The sequence below is a fragment of the Homo sapiens genome, chromosome 20 (genome assembly GCF_000001405.40).
Source record: "Homo sapiens chromosome 20, GRCh38.p14 Primary Assembly".
Classification (NCBI taxonomy): domain Eukaryota; kingdom Metazoa; phylum Chordata; class Mammalia; order Primates; family Hominidae; genus Homo; species Homo sapiens.
In genome coordinates this window covers 25749004-25774936 of record NC_000020.11, presented here as the reverse complement: position 1 = coordinate 25774936, position 25933 = coordinate 25749004, and the positions used below count along the sequence as shown (strand labels likewise).

The 25933-nt window shown below is 47.2% G+C and overlaps 2 long non-coding RNA genes across 3 annotated transcripts in view, besides 1 other annotated feature; one reads left to right on the top strand and one right to left on the bottom strand.

Annotated features, from left to right (window-relative positions):
- The window catches only part of FAM182B (family with sequence similarity 182 member B), a 37840-nt gene extending 26355 nt beyond the window's left edge, over positions 1-11485 (top strand). The window contains exons 4-5 of one of the 2 annotated variants that reach the window (NR_027061.3): positions 9936-10043; positions 11233-11485. This is a non-coding gene — a long non-coding RNA (family with sequence similarity 182 member B). Of the gene's footprint in view, positions 1-777; positions 5340-9935; positions 10044-11232 lie in introns of those variants that run through there. The other variant, NR_026714.2, reaches the window with a different exon arrangement.
- Positions 11486-18886: 7401 nt separating this feature from the next.
- On the bottom strand, positions 18887-23729 carry LOC105372582 (uncharacterized). The gene is made up of 2 exons (NR_135006.1): positions 23599-23729; positions 18887-22374 (listed from the first exon to the last, which is right to left on the bottom strand). It is a non-coding gene; the product is annotated as an uncharacterized LOC105372582 (long non-coding RNA).
- Positions 23860-24089: an enhancer, noted in NCBI's record as "active region_17675". NCBI's record gives its function as "activates an Ori minimal core promoter by ATAC-STARR-seq in GM12878 lymphoblastoid cells {active_cell/tissue: GM12878}" and the evidence as "EXISTENCE:reporter gene assay evidence [ECO:0000049][PMID:35858748]".

Sequence of the window (25933 nt, the reverse complement as noted above, 5' to 3'; positions counted from 1 at the left end):
GGGGCCGGAGTGGTCCCAGGAAGGCTGCAGACCAGGGCTGACCAGCGGGCAGCATGGTGGCCGCGATGGAAGGTGACGGGGTTCGCAGCGCCAGGGGACCCAGCAGAGCCCGAGCCCGGGCATCCCGCATCTCCAGCAGCATCGCAGGTAGGCCTGGTGCTGGTGAAGTGGCGGCCAGTGCACAAGGCCTACGACCCAGTCCCAGAGGCCAGCCCATTGTCAGCTAACTTCAGGAACCCCGGGCCAGCTGAGGCCCCGGGCCCCATGGGCAAGACAAAGGGCAGAGGGTCCGCAGGCGGGGCCGAGTGCAGGCAGTGCAGGCCTGGCTCCACCGCCGCGGAGCTCGCAGGGCGCAGCAGGCATCGGGCAGTGACCAGGGCTTCCAGAGGAGGCTGTGCACCCCTGCAAAGGCTCCTGCCCTGCGTCCAGCCTATCCGCGGGGACTCCACGTGCACCCCCTCCTCATTGTCCTTGTCTAGGGCCGCGGCGGCAAGGTCCTTGCTCCCATGGCGTGACTCCAGGGTGCAGGAGCCTGGGCTGAGCAGGTGGAGTAGGGTGAGCTCCGCCAAGAACCCAGCGAGAGTGGCGCCCCAGGGCGGCACAGGAGGCCGCATTTAACATGTCAATCATCTGAAAGATTTTATGGCATCTTTTTTTTGACATCTTATAATATCTATAATGTTTATTATATCTTGTGATATAATTATTAACACCACTTCAGTGTGATTATTATGATTATTTTTATACCAACACATCTTCAATTATTAATATTCCCAGTTGCTAGAGAAAACTGAAAACTACTAGTTTTGAAAGCCTCACTTCTGCCAATGGAAGCACATTCCAGCATGTCGCCAACGCAATCCACTTTCCACCACTTTCACAAAAAACGTTACTGCACAATTATACTATCCTACCCTTATATACTTTTTGTGTGTGTGTGTACTTGTATGTATGTATGTTACATAGGTCATATATATATATATATATATATATATATATGCCAGAGATGAACAAGCATTAGAAAATTAAATGCACACAGGTCATGTCAGTGCTATGTATAATGTGGTATACTAAGTATAGATGTTCAACAGTGTGGGATCTAGGCTGGAACAAGACTCCTAGTCTTAAGCAATTCTTTCTAGGTTCAGTCTCTGGAAATAATGCCTTGGATCAAATGTGTGAGAAAATCAATGGGTTTTAAAGACTATTCTATGTCAACTATAACATTTAATTTGGGGATTTCTGTCCCTTATAATGTCTACCTCATTTTGGATGGAATCCTTGAGGCCTGGTTTATTTTTCTTTTCCTTTCTACACATCGCTGCTCAGAGTGATGAATGGAGTTGTGTTTTGAATAAAATATCTATGCATCCTTTTGTGAGCAAGGAGCATGATGGTACTTAGACCTACCATTTCTCGTTACGGTGGTTACGGTTACAGAGGGGCTGGGGTGTTTACCTGGAGCCTGGACATCCACTGGGACATGATACCCACTGGGAATTTTTTGTGTCAGCCTGGTCTCTGATGTCCACCTGGGGATTGGGTATCCACCTAAGGCCTGATGTTTACCTGGAGCCAGATGTGCACCTGAGACCTGATGTCTATCTGTGGCCTTATGTTCACCTGGGGACCGATGCACACCTGAAGGATAGGTATTCACCTGGGGCCTGATACCCACCTGTAGTATGGGTGTCAACCTTGGGGCTAATGTTCAGCTGGTGTCCACTGTCTACTTGGGGCCTGGTGTACACATGGGGCCTGGGCATCCACCTGAGACTTGATGTTTAATATGGTCTGGAGTTCTTTTGGGGCCTGTTGTACCCTGGAGCCTGGGTGTAAACCTGGAGCCTGATGTCCCAGGTGGACACCCGGGTCCCAGGTGATCTTCAGGCCCTAGGTGAAAACTCCAGGCTCTAAGTGGACAACCAGGCCCCAGGCTGATGTTTACTGGGGCCAGATGTCTACCAGGCCCCAGGTGAAAACTCCAGGCTCCAAGTAGACAACATGGCCCCAGGTTCCAGGTAGACACTAGAATCCAAATCAACACCAGGCCCCAGATGGACACCCAGGCCTGTGGTGGACATCAGACTCCAGAAGGTCATCTGGCTCGAGGTGGACATCAAGCCCCAGGTGGATACCTAGTCCCCAGGTGGATATCAGGCCCCACTTGGACACCAGTCCCTGGGTAGATACCTTGGCCTCAGGTGGATATCCAGTCTCTAGCTAAGCATCAGGCTCCAGGGGGACCCAGGCCCTAGCTGACTGGGGACTAGTGTTTATATGGGGCCACATGTCCGTCTGGGCCCTAGGTGTCAACTTGTAGCCTGATGTCAACCTGGGAGCTGGTGATCACCAGAGAGGACTAGTCCTCCTGGTGCCTGATGTCCAACTTGGGACTTTGTGTCCACCTGGAGACCGATGTCCATTTGGGACCAGATGTCCAACTGGAGCAAGATGTCCACCTGTAGCCTAGAACTTCACCTAAGGCCTGATGTTCCCCAGGGCCTACAGAGCCTATGTATCTACCTAGGGACTTGTGTCCAGGTGGGGCCTGAATTCCACCTGGGGCCTGGAATTAACCTGGGACCTGATGTCCACCTGAGACGTGGGTGTTCCTCTGGAGTCTGATATCTATCTGGGGCCCGGGTGTCCTCCTGTGGTCTGATGTCCACTTGTAGGCTGGTGTCCACCTGGGGCCTGGGTGTCCACCTAGGAACCTGATGTATACCTGAAGTCCAGTGTCTACGTGGGTACTGATGTCTACCAGGAAAGTGATATAAACCTGGGGCCTGATAGCCACCTGGGCCCTGAGTGTCCACATATGTTCTGATTTCTCTTTTGGCCTGAGTGTAGGGCCTGAGTGCCACCTGCTTCCTGATGTTCACCAGGAACCTAGGTATTCACTTGGGGCTTGCTGTTCACCTGGGGCCTAATGTCCATGTGAGGCCTGGTATTCAGCTAGAGCCTGGGCATCCCCCTGTGGCCTGATGTTCAGTTGCTGACTAGGAATTCCACTAAAGCTTGATGTCCACCTGGGGCATAGGTAACCACTTGTGGCCTAGTGTTGCCCTGAAGCCTAGGTGTCAACCCAGGGCATAATGTCCCCTTGGGGCCTGCTGTCCACCTGCAGACTGGTGTCTACATAGGGCCTGGTATCCACCTGGGGTCTGGTGTCTGCCTGGGGCCTAGTGTCCACCTGAAGACTGAGTATAGACCTCAGATCTGATGTATGCCTGGGGCCTATTTATCCACCTGGGGACTAGCATTCATCTGGGGCCTCATGTCCACTTAAGCCCTGGGTGTCAACCTGGTGCCTAATGGCCACCAGGGATCTATGTACTCACTTGGGGCCTGGTGCTCCCACAGGGCCTAGGTATAAACCTGGAGAATGATGTGCAGGTGGAGGTGGATGTCTTCCTGGGTGCTGGTGTTCACCTGGGGACAAGGGTCTCCCTGGGGACCAGTGTTTATCGGGAGCCTCATATGCACCTTGAACCTGCTGTCTACCTAGGGCCCGATGTCCATGTTAAGGCTGGGTGTCCACCTGGGACCTGGTTGTCCACTTGGGGCCTAATGTCCACCTAAGACCTAGTGTTCACCTAGGGCCTGGGTGTCCACCTGGAGCCTGATGTTCAGCTGGAGATGCATCCATCCGAAACCTAGGTATCCACCCAGGTTCTGGTGTCGACCTGGGGTCTTATGTCCACCTGGGGACTAGATATCTACCTGAGGCTTGATGTCCACCTGGAGCCCGATATCCACCTCAGAGCTGGGTGTCCACCCAAGTTCTGGTATCCACCCGGAGCCTGGTGTTCATCTGGGGCCCAGTGCCCACCTGGAACCTGGGTATCACCATGGGGCCTGGGTGTCCACTTGGAACGTGATGTGCACCTGGGACCTGAGTTTCCACCTAGGGCCTGATGACCACCGGAGACCCAGGTGTCCACCTGGGGTCTGATGTCTACCTGAAGCCTAGGTAACCACCTGTGCCTTGGTGTTACCTGTGCCTTGATTTCCACCTGAGCCTGATGTACACCTGGGGCCTGGGTGTCCATCTGAGGCCTGATGTACACCTCAAGTCCAGTGTCCACTTGTGGCCTGATGTCAACTTGGAAGCTGATATCCACCTGGGGACTGATGTTCTCCTGGGGTCTGATATCCAACTGGGATCAGATGTTCACCTAAGGCCTGGAGTTAATCTGGGGCCTGATGGTCACCAGGGACCCAGGTGTCCACCTAGGGCCTAGTGACCAACTAGGGCCTGATGTCCACCTGGAGTCTAGTATCCGCCTTGGCCCTGATGCTACTTGAGGCCTGGGTGTCTTCCTAGAACCTGAGTCCCCAACTGGGCCCTGATGTCCACCTGAGGCCTGGTGTCCTTGTAGGGCCTGATATCTACCTAAGGCCTGGGTATCCTCCTGCAGCCTGATGCTCACCTGTAGGCTGGTGTCCATATGGGGCCTGGGTGTTCACCTGTGAGCCTGATGTACACCTGGAGTCCGGTGTCCCCTTGGTTACTAATACGTACCAGGAAAATGGTATATACCTGGGGCCTGATATACACCTGGAGCCTGTGTGTCCACTTGAGCCCTGATGTCCACCTGGGGCCTGGTGTTTACCTGGGGCCTCTATCCACCCACTACCGAAAGTCAAGTTAGGAAAAGGGCCCAGGATAGGTGAGGAGCACAGAACAGGGACCTCATTCATAAGAAATTCTGCTGTAGAATGTGTGCTCTAAGCTCTTAAAACAGCTCTGCCTCAGGAAAGACTGTCCAGGGCATAGGAAGCCCACACACAGGGTGGGATGACAAGTTTGCATCTGGCATGGCTGGGAGCCCTGGGGGCCTCTGCCCTTTTGGCCGCGTTGTCTCCTGGCTTTTAGGGTGGTGGGATTCTCGGCTCTGATTGCAGCAGGTGGATTCACTTAGCTCTCCTCCCCTTTTAGCATTACTGTCTTCTGTAATAAACCTCTCACTTTGATCTGCCAGGCTGTCAAATGCTTTGATTGCCCTCTCTGTTTTGTTCCAATGGTTCATCAATCCAAATATCCACAACACAAGGACAGATTTTAGTCTCTTCATACAGTGGGATATTTCACAGCTATTAAAACAAATCAAATAAATGCTTGTGTATTGATATGCAAAGTTGTCCTGCATCAATAACTTTTAAACACATTTTATGATCCCACATCTATATCTATACATAATGTTTGCCACTGCTTAAACAAAACAAAATCTAAGCTTTAGACTCCAAATGGAATTACAGGGGAATCTTGATGTCTGTGTTCTGCAGTTCTGTCATGTTTGAAATTGTCAAATAAACATGGTGCCTTTCCAGTAGCCACTCAGAATTCCTCCTCTCTGTCCACAAAGCATTGTCACCCTCCCTGTCCCATTTGCCCCAGCCCTGTGGAGCTCGCTGAGCTGGCACCATCATCTCTTGTAATAGACGAAGACATTGAGGACCAGAGAGGGGAAGCACCTTGTTGACATCCCACAGCTCTGAGTCAAAGTGGACTTGGTCTCCCTTACTAGATGTTTCCTAAAGTCCAGGGAGCCCTGGAGGCCCAGGAATGTAAGGGCTGGAGCCTGGGGCTTTCTGTCCTGAGGTAGGGGAGCTCACGGCTACAGTTCACGGCTTGAGTGCATTTCCTCTCAAGTACAATAACGGCTGCTTTGTAAGATGGAAAATATAAATGGCTGCCTGCAAATTTGTCAGGTAATGTGTTTGTCTCCCCTATGGGACTGTAAACTTGGACCTGTCTGAATCACCCTAGTGTCCCCAGCACCAGGCCAGAGCCTGACATATAAAATGACTGACTTCATTAAATACCAACACCTTCTAGGTGCCAGGTACTGCTCTAGATGCTGGAATCTGCAGTGAATAAGATACCCAGAATCCCTGCCCCTCACTGTAGTAGAGCAGAACAGATGATGAATAAGTAAGCATGCAGGGTGTGAGATGGGTGGGAGACCGCATTGTGGAACCAGGCAGTGTGCAAAGCGGACACTCAGGAAAGAACCTGAGGGTTGAGCTGTGGATATAATGTGGATATGATGTGGATATGATGGAGGAAATTCGCCCCTAACATGAGTGGAGACACTCCAGCTACAATAACAAGCGAAGGTGGAGAAGGAAGCACAGAGGCAAGCAGCTGGGGAGATGTGGGGGTGGGATCCAGGGAAGGTTCTCTCTTTATTGCATCTATTTTCAAATTGAAATAGGAAGCAAGGCAACAGGTGTAAGGAAGGCTGAGGAAGGTTTTAGAGGTTTAAGGAGGAAGGAGGAGGCAAGATACTGTTGCTTGGGGACAGGGCAGCACTTCTAGAGCTGGGTGCCTGGGCTCCAGGGCAAGTCACTTCATCTCTTCCTGTGCCAGCATCTCCTCAGCTGTGAAATAGTGATTATTATAGAACAGATTCATAGAGTTTGATGATAATTAAATCAGTTGGTATTCATAACATGCTTAGATTATATATTTTTTTATTAAGATAACAAAGAAGTCTGGCAGACTTATGGACTCAGGAAATGAGTGAGTCTGTAGAACATCATCCAGTGCCCACTGGAGGTTTGGGCTTGATGATTAAATGAGAGCAAAAGGCATGTGTGTTTCTCTCTGGCTGTGCACAGCCACCTGAGTGCAGGAGCAGAGGGAGTGGGTGCCTGGTTTTCAGCAGAGTGCAGTTTTCCCCTGGGAGTACAATTATTTGTGGGGCAAGAGAGTGGAGAGTGTTAGAGAGGGTGGATGACAGGCTGGGCCATATAGTCTCAGCTGGGAGGAGGGGAAATTTGCAAGAAAGTGAGTGAGACACAAAAGTGAAAATTTGGAGTCATTGAAGTGTGTCGGAGTTGGGAGGCAGCTGGAAAAAGGAAAATGGTGGTCAAAAAAAGGGTGTTTGAAATTGAGGGTCTGGAGTAGCTACAGTTTCTGCAGTGATAAGGACAAGAATTTACAGGTAGGAGTGGGTGACACAGGGAGGGTGGAGACAAGGTCTCTAGGGGTGGAGGGACCAAGAGCCAGAGCATGAGGAGGACTCTCTATGTGCATGTTGACATCACCTCAGCAGGAGAAAGTGCCCATGAACCGGGAGCCAAGTCCTCAATGCATAGGGATGCGGCCCTGGGTGCAATCTGAGGGCAAGAGCTTCAATATTGATTCCCTTCGTGTGTCACCGTGTCCTTGGGTAATTTTTCTTTGTGTGAACATCACAGAGTGTGCTTACACACACCTCAATATTGTACCTACTGTACACCTAGGCTCTGTGGCACAGCCTACTGCTCTCAGGCCGCACACCTGGGCACAGGTTACTGCAGTGAATACTGTTGGCAGTTGTAGCACAATGGTCAGTACTTGTGCATCTAAACGTATCATGAAAAGTACAGTAAAATCATAGTATTGCACTATATAAAAATATAGTATGGTACCTAGACATGGTGCACTGGTCTAGGACACTTATCATGAATGGAACGTGCAGGGCTGGAAGCTTCTCTGGGTGCGTCAGTGAGTGGTGAGTGAAGTTGAAGTCCTAGGGCGTGACTGTGCACTACTGTAGATTTTATAAACACTGGACACTTAGGCTACACTACGAGATATATATTTCTTTTTCTATAGAATTATAAATCTTTTTTAATCAATATATTTTTAAAGTAACTGTGCCATAACGTTACAATTGTTATGTCACTGGGCTAGGCAGTAGGTGTCTTTCGGCCCCATTATAGTTTCATGGGTCCACCACTGCACATGCGGTCTGGGTTGATGGAAACATCATTTCGTGGTGCATGAATGGATTTTTATGGGAGAGCAGGATGATGAGCTGAAAGAGGGAGGCAATGGGAAGCAAGGAGGACCTATCCTGCTCAGGCCCAGGGAAGGGCTGCAGCAGAGGACAGCAAGGCAGCAGTGTCCTCAGGGGATCGGGCCTCTTACAGCAAGGAAGAAAAGGAAGAGTTCCCTGAGGCTGCTGAAACCCAGAGGGCTGCTGGTGCTGGAGCAGGATTTTGAGGACATGCAAAAGGGTTTCAGCAAGGGAGGGAGGAAGGAAGGAACTGGGGAGCGAGGGTCAGCCCAAGATAACCAGGTCTCTCCCAGGAATCTTCTGGCCACTCAGAAGTAGTGCTCACACCCAGTTGAGCCCACAAAGGGCACCCGTGCCCAGCGTGAGAACCTGGTCTGCCTATTGCCCAGCCCTGACACAGCCCAGCCATTGCTGGCACCTGCTGTAGCCCCTAAGATGGATCAGCCTGGTCGGGTCCTCAACAGCCCTCACTGAGGCAGGTAAAAACACAGGCACCTGTGATAAGAGGCAGGCAGAGGCAAGTCACATAGTAGTGTCAGACCAGGTGCTGCAGGAGCCCAGTCAGAAGGGCACTGAATCCAGGCAGGCTTTCTAGAGGCAGTGACTCAGGATTTGTGTTCCAGTTGTGATGGTGGCACATCCAGGAAGCAGCGCATGGTCCAGCTGGGCACATTGGGACTGGAGGCTGTTTTTTCGTTTTTGTTTTTGAGACGGAGTCTCACTCTGTCTCCAGGCTGGAGTGCAGTGGCATGATCTAAGCTCACTGGAGGAGGCTGGTTTTTAATGAGTCTTGAGGCCAAGGCAAGGGTCATGACCAGGGTCCAGCCTCAGTAATGCACTCACCCCTTCACCCTGGGGCACTGCTGCAGGCCCACCATCACCAGCCTACATTTGCTCCCCTCCTGCCCTCTCTTTCCAGGAAGCCCCTCACCTGTCACTTCATGAAGAATATGGAAGCCAAGGAGGTCTTCTTCAGGCATTCTTCTCCACCCATGCACTTCCTCCCTCCCTGCCAGCTTCAAAGGCATTGATGTCCAGAGAGACCCTCCCCAGTTGCCCCACCTTTCCGTCAGCCTCTTCCAGGAAATGTCCTCTGACATCTCTCTGTCTAGGTCTCCCTGTCACTCTAGTGCACACCAAGACTGTTCTCCCTTTTCCTGTCAGCCACTGAGTCCACTCAGATATCTTCTGCTTCCCAAAATTAAAATTACAAGTCAAAACAGAAACAGCTTCCATGTCCTTACACATTGTAGACACTTGGCTACAGCAGTGAATGACATAGACAAAGTCCCTTTCCTCATGTAGCCCTCATGCTAGTAGGGTGAAACAGATAATAAATAAACTAGTCAAATATTCAGCATGTGAGTTGGTGATGAGAGCATGGTGGTTCATGCCTGTAATCCTAGTGCTTTGGGAGGCCGAGATGTGAGGATGGTTGAGGTCAGGAATTTGAGACCAGTCTGGGTAACATAGTGAGACCCTGTATCTACAAAAAATAAAATAAAGGAAAAGTGAAGGAGGATAGAATGTATCAGTGGGAAAGGGGGATGGGAGAGCCACATTTTAGACAGGGTGGTCCAGGAAGGTATAGCTCCAACCACTATTCCTCTGGCCCATTCCACATCTATCCCCATCCCACCCCCTGCACAGTGCTTGGGTCAAAGCCTCTCAGTCCTGCTTGTATTTCTCCAAGAGTGATCCAGGGACCAACTGCATCAGAACTGTGGGGTGAAGTCATAGCCCCTGCCTGTGAGAAGTGCGGATTCCTCTGCCCGGACCAGAATCCCTGGGAACTGGACCCAGGAATTTCCCAAGATCTCTGGGGGACTCTGAGACAGCCCAAAGTATTAGAGCTGCAGGTTTCCTCCTGAAAAGGGAGCACTGTCTCAAGGGGTCCCGGTCACCCAGCTCTATCTTGTAGCCACCAGACCAGTCTCAGCCTTGGAGAATGCTGCTCTTTCCTCTTGGAATGCCCTTCCCAGTGTTCCTTGCCTGGTAGCTCTTACACATCCCTCAAGACCCAACTCAAGGGCTACCTCCTCCTGACGTCACTCCCAGAACTTTCTCCTGTGTTTCCACTCTCCTCTTCACCAAGTGATGTTGACATTTCTATGTGACCATCTCTCTCTCTCTCTCTAGAACAGAAACGCCTACAGTTGCGGCCCCCTGTAGTGCAATTTGTGTCAGTCTAGGGAGAGTGGATTTGGAGCCCAACCACCATTGAGGAAAATCCATCTGACGGACATGGTGGGTTTCAGCCCAGACACAGGGGTCAGCGAGGGGTGGTGTGACAGTGAGCGCAGACCCTGGGTGGTGGTGACAGTGGCTGTCATGGGGAGGAAAGGAATGGAAAAGGGACCTCATGGGAGCAGAAAGACAGGCCTTAGCTGCAGATGGGCCAGGACCCCGCCAGGAATCCAGAACACGCATCCTAATCCCAGCTCCACTATAAGTACACAGCGGAACCCTGGCAATGACTTTCCCCTTTCTGAGCCTCATTTTACTCATCAGTAAAATGGTGACAATAACTCCAACTTCACCAAGGAGATGCTAGGCTCCATGACATGATGGATCTGAAAATGCCTTATGTTTCATGGCACAAAGGAGAGGGATCCCTGACATGCGACAAGCACAGGGAGAGAGGAAGGAAGGGGTCTGTAAATGGCCAGGTGGCAGCCCCACCCCTCCACACACACAAACACCCATCGTGTCACCCACACTGGTGATTTTCCCAGGAGGGCCCATGGCCTGGAATTAGCACTGCCAGGTGAGCAGGGAGGACAGCAGTCCCATTACAGGGGTGAGGAAACAGGCTGCGGATGGTCCCACAGGGAATAAGGAGCAGGGTCTAACTCCCCACTGCAGGCAGGGAAGATTGAAGTTGCTCCCTGGGAAGAGGAAGGGAGGCATTGACTGGCACTCCGTGATTTAGATGAGAAGCCCAAGCTCAGCCCGATGACTTGAGCTTCCTGATGTAGAAGGTGAAGGATGCAGAGGAGACAGAGGGCAGGAGGAAGAAGATAAGGAAGAGAGCAGCAAACTGGAGTCACTACAAGACACTAGCTGCTCCAGGCTGCTCTGTCCCATTCTAAGAGAAAAGGAAAAGTAGGAGAGGGGATCACAGATCATGTCCAGATTCCTCACTGGCATACATGCTGCTATGGAAACATCTCTGATGGTCCAGGTTTGTGGTGGGAGAGATTGCAACGCTCTGCTTCCTGGAAATCTGTGTTTACAGCCAACACAGTTGCTGCCTGAGACAGCCCCACCTGAAGACCCCAGAGCTGCCCCAGCTTGCCAGGTTTCCCCTCCTCCTGTTATCACCCCATGCTGCTGAGAACCTGCCTGGCAGGCTTCCCAGCCAAGGCTGGGGCCTAATCTCAAGTGAAACTGACATGTCCCTGTGAGGACTGAGGAACATCCTCTCTCCCCACAGAGCCTCACTCAGGTTCTCATCTACTTCCTTGGGGTCTGCCCCGCCTCCCTCAGAAGTTTGGAACCACATACTGTTCTGGAGGGGACCTCTCACTGCTGCAGAACCTGTCCTCCAGGATACCGACAAGTGTTCATCTCGGTCGTGGCTAATTAACTTACCATATGGTAGTGAACTCCCTTCTGGGGCCCCAATATTTTGTTTATTTTTAAAAAATAAAATTAGTACCATTGTTTATTTTCTGAATGTACAGAAATATTTGTCTGATTATTATTTACATGCCCTTTGGGAAAACTTTATAAAATAAAAAAATATGAAGGAGAATCTTACCACACAGAGATAATCACTTTAATTATTTTTCTATTCATATTTGCACATACAGGTACATATGGGATCATGCTCTGTATCTGTTGGGAGTGCATTAATCTGAAAATTCAGTCACTTAAACAAAGACAGGTTCATTTTTCTTACATAGTTAGAGTACCTATGGTTCCTGGCTATGGTTCACTGGTTCAACAATGTTAGGCCCAGTATCTTTGTGAGTCTATTGGAATTTAGCTCACGGCTGTAAGACGGCTACTGCAGCTCCAACCACTACATGAGTTTACAAGGCCAGCAAAAGCAGTCACTTCTGTATTCTTATTAGAAAAGCAAGAACTTCAGAGGTGACTCCCAGAGGATTTCTCTTTAGGTCTGGAAATCTGTGTTTAGATTGGCCAGAACCTGATCTCATGACCATCCCTAGCTGTAGAGAATAGCATTGTCATGATTGACTTTGGATCAATCATAATTTATTGACTGAGAGTGCGCATGTGGTCCCCTAAAGAAGATCAAGAAAGGAGGGAATTTGCAGTCTGTACTACAGCATGCATACTGTTTTATAATCTGCTCTTCCTCTTAATTGCATATTTCCAACATCTTTCCATACTAAGAAATATAGATTCAGTCATTCATTTAACAACAAATTATTGAGAGTGTACTGTGTTCTAGGAACGTAACTTGGCATGGAGGACACAATAATGAACATAGTATACTCCTTGCCTCCATGGAGCTTAGCATCTAATGAGGGATACAGACATTCATCAAAGAGGTTCACAAAGAAATGTAAAATTACGATTGTAATTTGTGCTGAAAAGGAGGGAGGTGTGTGGTGTGTGAGAGCAGTGACAGGATATTTGACTCAATCAGGAGGGTCTGTGTTCTGAATGGCCAGAAGCCAGCCCCTTGCCTAGCTGTAGCACAATTATTGCTGTATGTAGTCCAATCTCTTATTGCTGGACATTTACATTCTTCCCACATCTTACCTACTATCATCGATGCAACAATAAATACCCTTCTCTAAGTACCACTTGGCACACTTCTCTGATTATTTCCTCAGGATAAATTTCTAGGGTAAAGCCAGGCACCATGGTTCATGCCTGTAAGCACAGCTACTCAGGAGGCCAAAGTGGGAGGATCACTCGTGGCCAGTAGTTCGTGGCCAGCCTGGGCAACATAGGGAAGTCTTGACTCAAAAAACAAACATCCTAGAAGAAATGAACAATTCTTAGATGTCGAATTGCCAAATCAAGGGGTGCACCATCACCATCCCCATACTCACCATCACCATCCTCATTATCATCAGTCTCACCCTCACCATTCTCACCAGCATCAGCAGCAGCATCCTCACCATAACTATCAGTATCTATCACCACCTTCACCATCACCATCCTCACCATCACCATCATCTTCATTATCACCACCACCATTTTCACCATCACCATCCTTACCATCACCATCACCATGCTCACCTTCACCATTCTCACCATTATCATCATCATCCTCAGCATAACTATCACTATCATGATCACCACCTTCACCATCACCATCCTCATCACCATCATTATCACCTCATCATCACCATCACCATCCTTATCATCACCATCACCATGCTCACCTTCAACATTCTCCCCATCATCATCATCATCCTCAGCATAACTATCACTATCATCACCACCACCTTCACTATCACTTTCCTCACCATCACCAACATTATCACTATCACTATCCTCACCATCATCCTCAACATGACTATCACTATCATTATCACCACTTTCACCATCACCATCATCATCATCATCACAACCACAATTATGAAAATCTTGGAGGAAAAGGAGAGGAGGTAGCATATTAAAATACAGGTACTTTGATGGGGAGGAACAGGCAGAGTTGAAGCTGGGGAGGGGATATCAAACAATGGAGACCCCCAGAACAGAAAGCTAAGAAGCTCAGGCTTTGCCCAGAATCAGAGGCATCCTTGGAGATTTATCAGCAGGAGAGTATGCAGTCAGATTTGTGTTTAGGCAGAACATTGAGCAATCCTCAGAAGAAGCAGAGGGAGGGAGGCCCACAGAGGAGACAGAACCTTCAACACCAACCAGGGTCCTGGTCCTGGGTCCAGCAGATCTGGCAGGAATGAGGAACGGGAGGCTCATGGGTAAAGGCTGCAGCCAGGCAGGGAAAGGCCTCACTCTCCCTGCCACTCCTTTCCCTGCTCCCCACTTTCCTGTCCCATCTTTGCTAATAGGCTCAGCATCTCCAACTGCACCCACCGACTAGATTTGCCCCAATTCCTCCTCCTCTCTCATGCCTGAGGCCCAGGTGGCTTCCAGAACTGACCAGGTCTACTTTAGAATTTTAATGAGATAATCTGGGTAGAAGTGCTGGTGCCCTGCCAGCCACAGCAGGTACTCCTCATATGGTAAACTGGAACTGTCTTCTCAGTTCCCACAGCCTTGGCTTCAAATTCTGCCTAATCCAGATGACCACTGTCTCTCACCTGAGCAGAGAAGCCTCCCATTGGTCTCGCTGCTCCAGACCTTCCTCTTTCCAGATATCAGCCTGATAATTTTCTCACTGCAAACCTGGTCATGTCCCTCCCTTGTCCCTTTGACTAAAGGGTAAGATCCAAATCCCTTAGCATAACACCCCAGGCACTGAGGAGCTGAGACCCCTCCATTTCCACCTTGACTTTTTCCCCTCCCCTTCTAGTAGCATTGCTGACCCACTTGCCTTGTTCTTTCACCACATGGCTTTGATCCTGTTGCTCTTCTGCCTGGAGCGTCTTCCTACATCTTCTCTGCCTGGTGAATTTCTACTTAACCTTACAAATCCAAGCTCACCTTCTCTGTGAATCCTACTTCCTCCCCATCATGCCGCAAATTGTCTCTCTCACTAGACCTCCAGCCCCTAAAAATCAGGGACAGCTTAATGCATGTTGGAAATGGCTACTCCTCACTTCATTACCCTAATTAGCTAGTTATATTCCCTTATATTTGTGTTTCCCCATTTACTGAAGCTTTCCATGGGTCAGGCACTGAGATCCAGGGGAGGACCCGGAGGGTAGGACAAGCATGAGTACTGAAGGCTACAATGGCACAGGCACCAAGAGGCCATGTGGAGTGCAAGAAGCCTCATCTCTAGAGTGTCTTCCTGGTTTACCATGCGCTTTCTTCCCTTCCCTTATTGGAGTCACCTTGTGCTGGTTTTGATAGCCTGTGTCCCTGAAACATGCACTCCCACACACACAAACAGACCCACATCTATCCACAGGTACCTTGCCCATACATAGAGAGACCTCTGTGTGTATCCCCCAGAGCTACAAATGCCAATCTTGAGAATGAAGATTTTGCAAGTGCTCTGTGCCAGGCATGATGCCAGGTCCTTGACAACACAAGACCCCTCTGGTTTCTCCCACTCAGCTGTGCAAGGTTTGGGGTTGAGGAGCTCCCCCTGCCAAGGTCACAGATGTGAAACATGAGGTAACAGCTATTTGAATGTAAGCCTGTAGGTCACCAAAACATATGCCATCTGCACCCCACCATAGTGCCTCCAAAGCACATGAAGACATGAGTCCATCAACTGTGACTCATTAGTACCCAGCAATATTTCCTCCTCCACTTCGTTTCCCACTGCCACTCCAATATCTCTGCCCACAGTCCCAGAGCCACCTCTGCTTAACGGGGAGGTCAGGACAGATGCTCCATTCCACCCGATGCCATCTCCCAGGGTGCAGCCTCCTCATGGGGAAGAGGACTACCATGGCTAGTGGTGACATGGGTGGCTCTGGCCCCCAGCACTTCTCCCCGGGACCTCTGCTCAGGACATGGCACGGACAGAGGTGAGGTTACCATAAACTGCCTCAGAAATGACTATAAACCAGCTCAGACCATTCCAGCACCGAACACGCTGATAGCCCAGGGTGGGCCCACAGAAGGGTAAGGGCTAGGGAGTCCAGGGCTGCAAGAGTCCCCCCTCCCTGAGCCCTTGAGCACAGCCACCCAGGTGTAAAGGACAATACGGGGATTCTGGGGATTTCCAAGTCTGGGCCCTAGAGGTGAGTTCTAGCAGGGCCCCCAGATATCCTCCCCATCCATCCCCTCATCCTGTCTCACATATTCTAAAAACAAGGAAACAGGCCTAGAGAGGGAAGGGGCTTGAGCAGTCTCTCAGGCAGTTAGAGACAGAGCCCAAGTTAGAATCCATGTTTCTCTCCCTTTTTTCCCCTAGGTCTGTCTCTGACTAGCTACGTGACCTTGGAAGAGTCACTCCACCTCTCTGGGCATTGAAGGTTTACAGCTTCTGACATGTTCATTCCAGAGGGTTGTCAGGACCTGACAGCCCTTCACCTAAACAAAACACTCTACAGTCTACAAATATTCATATATCTCTTCTCTTCTCTGACCTCTGTAATACCCCTATGAAGCTGTGAATATTGGTGCTTGTGTCCTATTATGCAGATGCAAATACTGGACTCAGAAAGACAAAAATCACACAGGAAGTTTGGGACAGGACTGGAACTAGAACCCAGGTCTCCCAAAGCAGGGTCCTTGCCATCATTAAGGCTGGGAATACATTAAGACTCCAAAATATGGAGAGTTGCTCAATGCATGCCACCCAGGTTAGAGCTGACCAACCCCAGAATGCTCAGCAGCTCTGGGACCCTGGAGTAGAGGACTCAAGGCAGAGGGTGATGCCTAAGTCACACACATCTGAGCTCCAATCCAAACTCCATTACGCAGCTGTGTGACCCCACTTTACGAGGCTCAGCCTTCTCTACTACAAAATGAAACTATAGAAGGTACCAAAAAGCTCAGGATGAGGGGAGAACTGCGCCCTGAATGCAGGACTGCCAGGCAGGTGGTAAGCACTCATTAACTTTTGTTTCAAGCACACAAATCATATGTTGTTTTTCATCATGTCTCCCCATGGTGTCTGGTCTATGGCTCCAGAACCAGGAGGCTTCTGATCAATCTTTATGCTAAATGATGGACAGATAGATGGATGGGTGGTTGGACAAATAAATGGATGGATGCATGGATTGACAGATTGATGCTGAGATGAATGGATGGATGAATAGATGGATGAATGGATAAATGAATGGACGGGTGCTCAGAAGAGAAGACAATAAAACAGGGAGTCAAAATGAAAAGAACAAGAAGATGATTGAAGGATGGGGCTGAAACATGGAAGAGAGGTACAAGATCCAGCCCTTCTGGCTCCACTCAGCCCCACAACCACATACCTTTGGGTAGCGCTGGTACATGCTCCAGATTATACCCCTGGACACCATGATGCTGCCACAGAAGGTTTCATTGAACTGGGGCCCATCATGGCTCAGGAGGAATGTACTGAGAGCCAGAAGACCCATATATTGAAGCTGAAGCAGAAGGTCTTCTGATCTGCCAAGGTCTCCTCACCTGCCATGGCTGCCAGCCATGTGCACCTGTGCACCCCCGTGCACCCCTGCCAGAATGGGCCCATGCCATACAGCATAAACATCCAGACAGGCTCACAGGAAGAGATGAAGCTCTTGGATCACTGCAAATCAAGGCTTAAAGGTAAAGGGAGGGCAAGACCCCTTCAGCTCCAGGCCCATTCCCTGGACCCACCAGTTCAGCAGGGCTGGAGGCAGCATGCTTTGGTGGACCAGTGAACCCACTCCCCACCCTCTCTCCTTCCCTTGGGGCCCAGAAGGCCTGGAGTGCATGTGTGAATCTGGGTGAGGGAGCAGGCAAGGGAGGGACAAGGGGTGGTTACAGGGGCTGGGCCCCAGGCAGGCCTGTGACAAAACCTTCTTTGCCTACTTTGGGGCTGAACTGAGTAAGCAGTTGATCCCACACCTTCTAGCCCTGGGAAGCAGGGTAAAATTCTGCAGCCAAAATATGTTAGAATGCTGCCAGAGGATTTCAGGATCCCACTGTCAGGCATTTCAAGATCCTAGATTTTAGACCCTTCAAGGATATGTGTCCATCTGGGATTCAGGCATGATGGCCCATATGTACTGGATGGTGACGATGCACATGGCACCATTCTAAGCATGTTACAGCTATTAACTCACTTAAGGGACTCCATGAGGCAGGTATTGCTATACCCACTATGCAGAGGACACTGAGCACAGACAAGTAACTTGCCCGAGGTCACACAGCTGGAAATGGTAGAGAAGCTGGAACGTGAACCCAGAAGCTGTGCCCCTGGCCACAGGGCAATCCTGCTTAACGGCAGCAAGAGGTTATGGGTGAGAGCTCTGATGGCAAGGCAGGCTGCCTGGGTTTAGATCCTGGCTCCTGTACTGCGCGGCAGCATGGTCTTGATCACATTACCTACCTGTGTCTGTTTCCTCCTCTGTAAAATGGGGATAATAACGGTACCTCCCAGCATTAGCGCTATCTCCAGGCCTAGGTGTCCTGGATCCTTCTGCCCCCTTTACACTCTGTGCAGCATCCAGGCCTGCTTGTAATGAGCTCCTCTACTCCCCCACCAAAGCTCTGGTGAGTTAATGTCCCTGTGGGGTATAAGCGACTGACAGTAACTTCCTCAATCTCCTTGCAGCCTAATCTAGAAGATGCTTTCTAAAGAATAGCATTCTAATGTGAAATTTTAGTCCTGTGAAAGGCTAATGGGAGAAATCAGATTCCTTTACAAGATTACAGAAAAAAACAGGACAATGAGTATCTCTAAAAGAGAATGTTCACTTGTGTCGATGGGGTTAGGTGGCCAATACAGGATGAAAGGCTTTCATTTGGCTCCCTGACTTGCTGAGTTTGGGGATTTCCCTGGTCCTGGTCATTACCTCTTTCCTCCTGCCCAGCATGTGCTCACACCAGCCCCTCTGCTTCATAGTCCTTCCCACAGGCTCTTTTTCTTACATTTTTTTAGAGAAGGTAAGCTCAGAGGGACTTTTAATACGCCAATCGATGTTAATAAAATGCAAATCAAAGACACGTGCAAACATGCTTTCAACCAACATTAATGAGGAAACAAGACACAAATTATTTTTCTTTTTATATTTTATTTTATTTTTCAGATGGAATCTCGCTCTGTCACCCAAGCTGGAGTGCAGTCGCATGATCTCCACTCACCACAAGCTCCTTCTCCTGGGTTCACGCCATTCTCCTGCCTCAGACTCCTGAGTAGCTGGGACTACAGGCGCCTGCAACCACGCCCGGCAAATTTTTTGTATTATAGTAGAGATGGGGTTTCACCATGTTAGCCAGGATGGTCTCGATCTCCTGACCTCGTGATATGCCCACCTCAGCCTCCCAAAGTGCTGGGATTATAGGTTGAGCCACTGGGCCTGGCCCTGTTTGTTCTTTTACATTAACTTTACAATGTATTTGCCATGTTTTAAAAATAAATTTAATTGGAATTTTATTGAAATTTTATGAGACATGATTTAGTCAAAGATGAACACACAACATTATTATTACTGTTTCCATCCAGGTATGGCATATTTCTTTGTTTTCTCTAGTTGTCTTTTATATTGCTCAATAAAATTTGTGGCTCTGGTACATTTCATAATAATCATACATCATATTTCATTATTTCTAATTATTATAATGGATCGCATGTACATTTACTATGTACCACATATTATGAGATAATGAATATATTCATTATCTCAATTCATAAAACAATCATGTGATTTAGTTGGTGTTATTACTAGATTATTACCATTGTACAAGTAAAGAAAATAAAGACAAAAAAAAAAAGAAAACAGACTCAGCAAAATCAAACCAATAAAGACTTAATTAGAATTTTTGGGCATATATTAAAAATTTAATACAACTCAATGAAAGCAAAAAAAATTTTAAAAAATGACCAGGCAGATTTGAGAAAGAGCCAAACAGAAATTCCAGAAATAAAAACATAATTGTTGAAATTGAAGACAGATTTGACAGCAGATTACATATAATTGAAAAGGAAAATGTAAACTGGAAGACAGGCTGAAGAAATTGCTCAGAATGAAACCCAAAGAAGTAAAAAATAAGAAAGAAACAAGAGAAATGGAAGACAAGAGTGATAAGATATTACAACTAACAGGATTTCATAAGTAGAACAATAAACTGTTAGAAAGGTTTTGTAAAAAAGATAACGGCTTGGAATTTTCCCAAAGTGATGAAAAACTCCACCCTTCATATTCAGGAAGCTCAATTTAAAAGGGAAAAAAAATCACCTAAATGTATCATCATAAAAATAACGGAACCCTGAAGAAAAGAATATATTGAAAACAAGCAGAGAGAAAATTCACATTATCCATGAAAGAATATGGATTTAGACCAAGAGCTAATGTCTTAAAAATGGAAGCAAGAAGACAATGTACTAAGAAAAAATAATCACATACGAAATTAATATATGTTTTAATAAACAGGCCAAATATAAGACAATATTTAAGTCATAAAAACCAAACAAATACTGAATTTGCTAACTAAAAGACCTTCACTAAAGGAAATTCTAAGAGATGTTCTTCAGTAGAAGGGTGTTCCCCTAGATGGAAGACTTGAGTTGCGAGAAGAAATGGTGAGTACGTAAGAAGACAAATATGTGAGTAAATATAAATGAACACTGACTATATAACATGTAGTTTCCAGTGGATTAAGAATAAGATGAGAAGCAAAACCATAAAACTTCTAAAGATAATACAGTAAGACTACCTTAATAGCCCCAGTGGGTTTTCATATAAAACCTAAACAAATTCTGTTCACCAAAAAAACACTATCAGGATCAAAGACCCAAATATAAGGGGTAAAACTATAAAATTTGTAGAAGAAAACATAGGTATAAATCTGTGACCGTGAATTAGTCAATGGGTCTTAGATACAACACCAAATGCAAGAGTGACAAAAGGAAAAAACAAACTGGACTTTAACAAAATTCAAAACTTTTGTACATCAAAGGATACCATCAGGAAAGTGAAAAGAACCCACAGAATGAGAGAAAATATCTATTAAGTCATACATCTGATGAGGAACTAATGTCCAGAATATATAAAGAATTCTTAGAATAACAAAAAGACAACCCAATTAAATGAGCAAACAGTCTAAATGAACATTTCTCTAAAAAGATATACAAATGGCCAATCAGCACACGAAAGGATGCTCAACATCATTAGTCATTAAGGATATGCAAGTGAAAACTACAACTAGATACAACTTCACATCTACAAGGATGGGTATATTTTTTTAAAAAACAAAAATAACAGATGTTGGCAAGGAGGTAGGAAAAAATGGAACCTCCATACACTGCTGGTAATAATATAAAATGGTACAGAGACTTTGGAAAACAGTTTTGAAGTTTTTCAAAAATTTAAACATAGATTTACCATAGGCCCACTCCTAGATATATAAAGAAAATTGTAAAAATACGTCCGCACAAAAACGATTACATGAATCTCATCACAGTACGTTAATAATCATAGTCAAAAAATGAACATAACTCAAATATCCATCAACTAATGAATGGATAAACAAAACATAGTATACTCATGCAATGGGATTCAGGCATATAAAGCAATGAAGTGCTGACACAAGATACAACATGGATGAATCAGGACAACATGCTAAATAAATGAAGCCAAACACAAAAGGTCACATATGATTCTGCTTTTTCTGATATTTGGCATATGCTAGTCCATAGAGACAGAGAATAGATTAGTGGTTGCCAGGGGCTGGGGAAAGGGGGAAATGGGGAGTAACTGCTAGTAAGTATGGAGTTTCTTTTTGAAATGATAAACATGTTCTAGAGTTAGAGAGTGGTGATAGCTGTACAACTGTATGAATACATTAAAAGCACTTAAAGCGCCTGCAGTCCCAGCTACTCGGGAGGCTGTTGCAGGAGAATCGCTTGAACCTGGGAGGCAGAGGTTGCAGTGAGCCAAGGTCACACCACTGCACTCCAGCCTGGGTGACACAGTGAGACTCCAATTCCAGAAAAAAAAATGCACTTAGTGTACACTTAAGAGTGGATACTAGGCTAAAAGTGAAGTGACAGGCCTCAAACTAGGCAAATCTTCTATACACATATCTGACAAGGGACTTCAGGAAATCTTAAAAGTTTCAATGTTGAAATAGGAGACTATAGACAAAAGACTTGAACAATGCACATAAGGAACGCAAATAACCCACAAACAAATGAAAATAAGCTCAGCCTTCTTCCAAACCACAGAAGACTATTTCATATTCAACTGAAAAAAATGATATCAAGTAAAGGCAAGAATGTGCACAAACCAGTACCCACATAAGCTGCCAGTGGGAATGTAAAAAGGTGTTACTTCTTAGCAAATTTGGTATCATCTATTAAATAGTTCACTGTGCATAATCTTGGGCCAAGCACTGCCATTCCTGGGCACATGCCATGGAAAATCTCTGCATGTGAACCAAAAACCAGCACCATTGTATGGATTATAAAAAAAAATAAAAAATAGAATGGACAAACAAATTTCACTCTCTACAATCATATAATCGGACAGTGCAGCAAGGAAAATGAATGAATGTAAGAAAACCACAATGGTAGCAAAAACAGCAAGTCAGAATATATAAGGAATGATTCCTTTTATGTAATGTTTCAAAATATGGAAAACTCAAAAATATCTTCGGTAGGGAGAAAAAAATACATTCTTAGAATATATTAGGCAAAGACTTTTACTTGTTTCTTTTTCAGTTTAAGGATCTGCTGTTCTACTTTTGCAATTTCTCGATCTACACGATCCATACTCTGTATTAACTCTTCCTTTGAAAGTTTTGAAGGTGAAGCATTTTGATCATCTCCACACGGTTGCCCCAGAATTGGAGAGGATGGAGCTTCATGTTTGCCTCCAAATGCTGGAACCTTTAGAGAATAAAACCAAGAAAAACAATGCATTTCTCACTAATAGAGTCCAGATTGCCTTAAATGAAAAAGTCAGTTTTAAACCACAGCAGAGCCATGTGTACTAAGAAAAGCAATTCTGTCAAGAAATAAAAATAGACTTTGGGTATGGTTAAAGTATAAATCTTATGTTTACAAAATACTGTGATTTCCAGAAATCACTGTATTAGGAATGTGCAATAACATACAAATAAAAGCCATTTTTAAACACATACATACACACACACACACACACACACACACACAAAGAATAAAACCATAAAACTCTGTATTTTAAACTTCCAGCACATCTCAATACAGACCAGCCACATTCCAGGGGCTCAGTGGTCCCAATGGTCAGTGGCTGCCACATTGAAGTGAAGCTCTGAGTGCTGAACCACACCCCCCACCCTCCATTCCCTTTCAGAGGCAAGGGAGTACCCCATCCTTGCAACATCTGAAAATGGTAACCTGAGAGAGCAGTGGGCTGCAAGCAGGAAGTGTCCACGGGTGGATTACTACTTCCCATCTGCTGGTTGGTAGAGTTAGGGGGAATCCTGTTTTACAGAGCAGACACTGATCAAAGGATGATTGTGCCCAGAAGAAGGAAACCCCATGTCTTCAGGTGTGTCCATGGGCTTGATCAAAGTTTAGATATGCAGTGAATAGATTAAAGGCAAACTTATTTTGCTGTTGGTCCTAATGATCAGGCTGTGGTGTGTTTCCTCTTGTGGTATGGGGAACTGTGTGCATTTAAGCACCAATCACATGCATACCTGCCATTTCTGTATTACTCAACACCATCTAACAAGAGATCAAACTTTTTAAAGGAGGGGGAAAAATCAGTATTTGTAGGGTGCCTACTGTTTGCCAGGTAACTTTTAATCCTCCTCCTAAATTCACAGTCAATCGTGCAGCCTACAGGTGTCCTCTCTCCACAGGTAGAAGCAATGCCAGTTCTTCACCTGGATGCTTCAGTCTCTTACCCAAACCCAGTGCATGCTGGGATTATAGTCCGCAGCCCTAGAACCAACAGGCTGGGAGTAGAACAGATACTACAACTCCGAACATTCCGTACGAAGGTCCCGCTTTCCAAATCACACTTCCATGCGTCCAGTGCAGTTCTGCCTTGCTGAGGGAAGCGTGGGTGTTCCCAAACCTCTCCTGCCTGCGAGGAGACAGCGGGGCCAGGGCATCTGGTCTCACCTTGTAATTGTGACACTGTGTCTCCTCGAAGCTTCCCGCTCAAAGCTTGATTTTCTGCAGGCCGGCAAGGACCCCAGAGACTCTCACAGCCTCCTCAGGGTTGCCATGATAATGTTGATCCTCCAGTATGTGGGCGCACACGGCCCCTTTCTTCTGCCCCACCCCTCCCCTCAGCCCCGCCCCTTCCTTCTCGCCCCGCCCCTTGTCACGCCCTTCGAGCATGCGCCGTGTAGCCTTCTCCGTAGAGGTGGGGCTATCAGCCCGTGGACCTGGTAGCTGCAGGCTTTCTTTGTATCCTACTCGGGAAGCTCCCTCATAGTGTCTGAAACCGTCATTTCACTGCCAGAAGTGAATATACACGGTCCTAGTAACCTGGCACTTGCCTTTCCAAAGTCACCTTTCCCTCGGACTCTCCGTGCTGCCACGAATCCTCTGCACCCCAGGAGCACCCCGGTCTGGCTGCGCCCCCCACACCTGGGTCAGGCCTCTCACAGGGACGCCCCAGCCGCTGTAATAAAGTCACATGAGAAAGGCCTGTGACGTTATTAGGAGAAAACGTCACAGGGGAAAGGCCTGAACACTGCTCCATCCAGTCAAGAAGCAGCCACAAGGAAGGGACCCCCTAAGCTGCTTTTGGGGCCACATCCACCACTGACCCCCACCCAGGCTGGTTCCCAGGTCTTGGGGTCCTAGTGATAAGGAAGGGAACTGCTGGAAGGGAAGAGCGTGGTCCCTTCAAATGATACGGAAGGGGGAAGGGAAGTATGGGTTAGAGGAGGGCATGGTCCCTGGCTAGGGCTCCACCCCCACGGACCTAGGTGAGGACAGGCATTTTTGTTTTCTTGCCCAAATGTTGCATTTCCCAAGACCACCGTGGCCTGCCACGCCCCCATCTTGTGCCTATAAAAACCCTGAGGCCCTAACAGGCAGACACACAGGTCCTCTGGACGTCCTCTGGGCATAGAGGGGAGTACTCTGTGGAAGAGCACAGGATAGACTCCAGCAGACCAGCAGGCTATCCACCGGCAGAAGGAGGTGAAGTTTGGCCAGAGAGCCAGGCCCCCCGGGCGCCCAATTCCAGGGGAAAACCATCTCCTTTCTGCCTCCCCCATCTGTTCAGAGCTACTTCCACTCAATAAAACCTCGCGCTTATTCTCCAAGCCCACATGTGATCCAATTCTTCCAGTACACCAAGGCAAGAACCCCAGGATACATAAAGCCCTCTGTCCTTCCAATAAAGCAGGGGTCTAATTGAGATGACTAACACAAGTCGCCTACGGACAGCTAAACTAAGAGCTGTAACACACGTCCACTGGGGCTTCAGCTGTAAACATTCACCCCTAGATCACTGCCATGGGGTCAGAGCCCCATAGCCTGCCCCTCTGTATGCTCCCCTAGAGGTCTGAGCAGCAGGGCACTGAAGAAGCAAGTTACACCCCCATCGCACGCCCTGCAAAAGGGACAAGTGAACTTTTCCCGTTTCACTAGTATGGACTTCTCTGCCATAATTAACACAGACCAGCAAGACCAGAAGGCCCCTTGGTCCCTCCCAACACATAAGGGAAGTTTGTTTGGTGAGGTCATGTTCAGTGTCTGCATTTCTGCTGTGAATAGGGCTCCCTTAGAAAATCTTTTAATTTTGCTTTTTAAATATCCCTTTATAACCACTTTCAATACTTTGCTGGTGGAACTTAACAGTGATAATTATCTGAATCCATTTTTCCATTTACTTTCTCAGATTAACTCTAAGTACTCCACAACTACACACTTCTGAAACTAGTGTAGGCGCAGCCTCAGCTCCGTGCAGGGTGGATGCACCAGAGCAGACTCTCCCTGGGACATCTTTCTGGAGCATTAATAACAAGTCAGTTGAAAGCCCTGCCTTGCCAGTTTCCACAGTCACAATGTGGCCTTGGTATGATTTTATTTGTATTTATTTGTATTTATTTTGGGGGGGTTGTTGACCTTTTGTATATAAAAATTAAGGTCTTGGAAAATTTTTTGAAAGTATTCATTTACCAGTTGGTAATTTATTTTGAAACTCATTTGATTTGTCTGTCTCTCTCCTCTTTCTCAGACTCAATTATCCCACAGGTCTCTAAGGCTCTGTCTATTTTCTTTAAATTCTTTTCTTCAGATTGAATCATTTCTATTGCTGTGTCTTCTGTTTCTAATCTGTGGATAAGCTCAAAATATTTTTTCATCTCCTTATCTTTCTATGTGGTTCCTTTTTATACACATAATTTCCATTTCTCTGCTGAAGTTTCACATCTGTTCATTTGTAATGCGACTATTTTCCTTTATCCCCATGAATGCATATATAATAGCTGCCTTT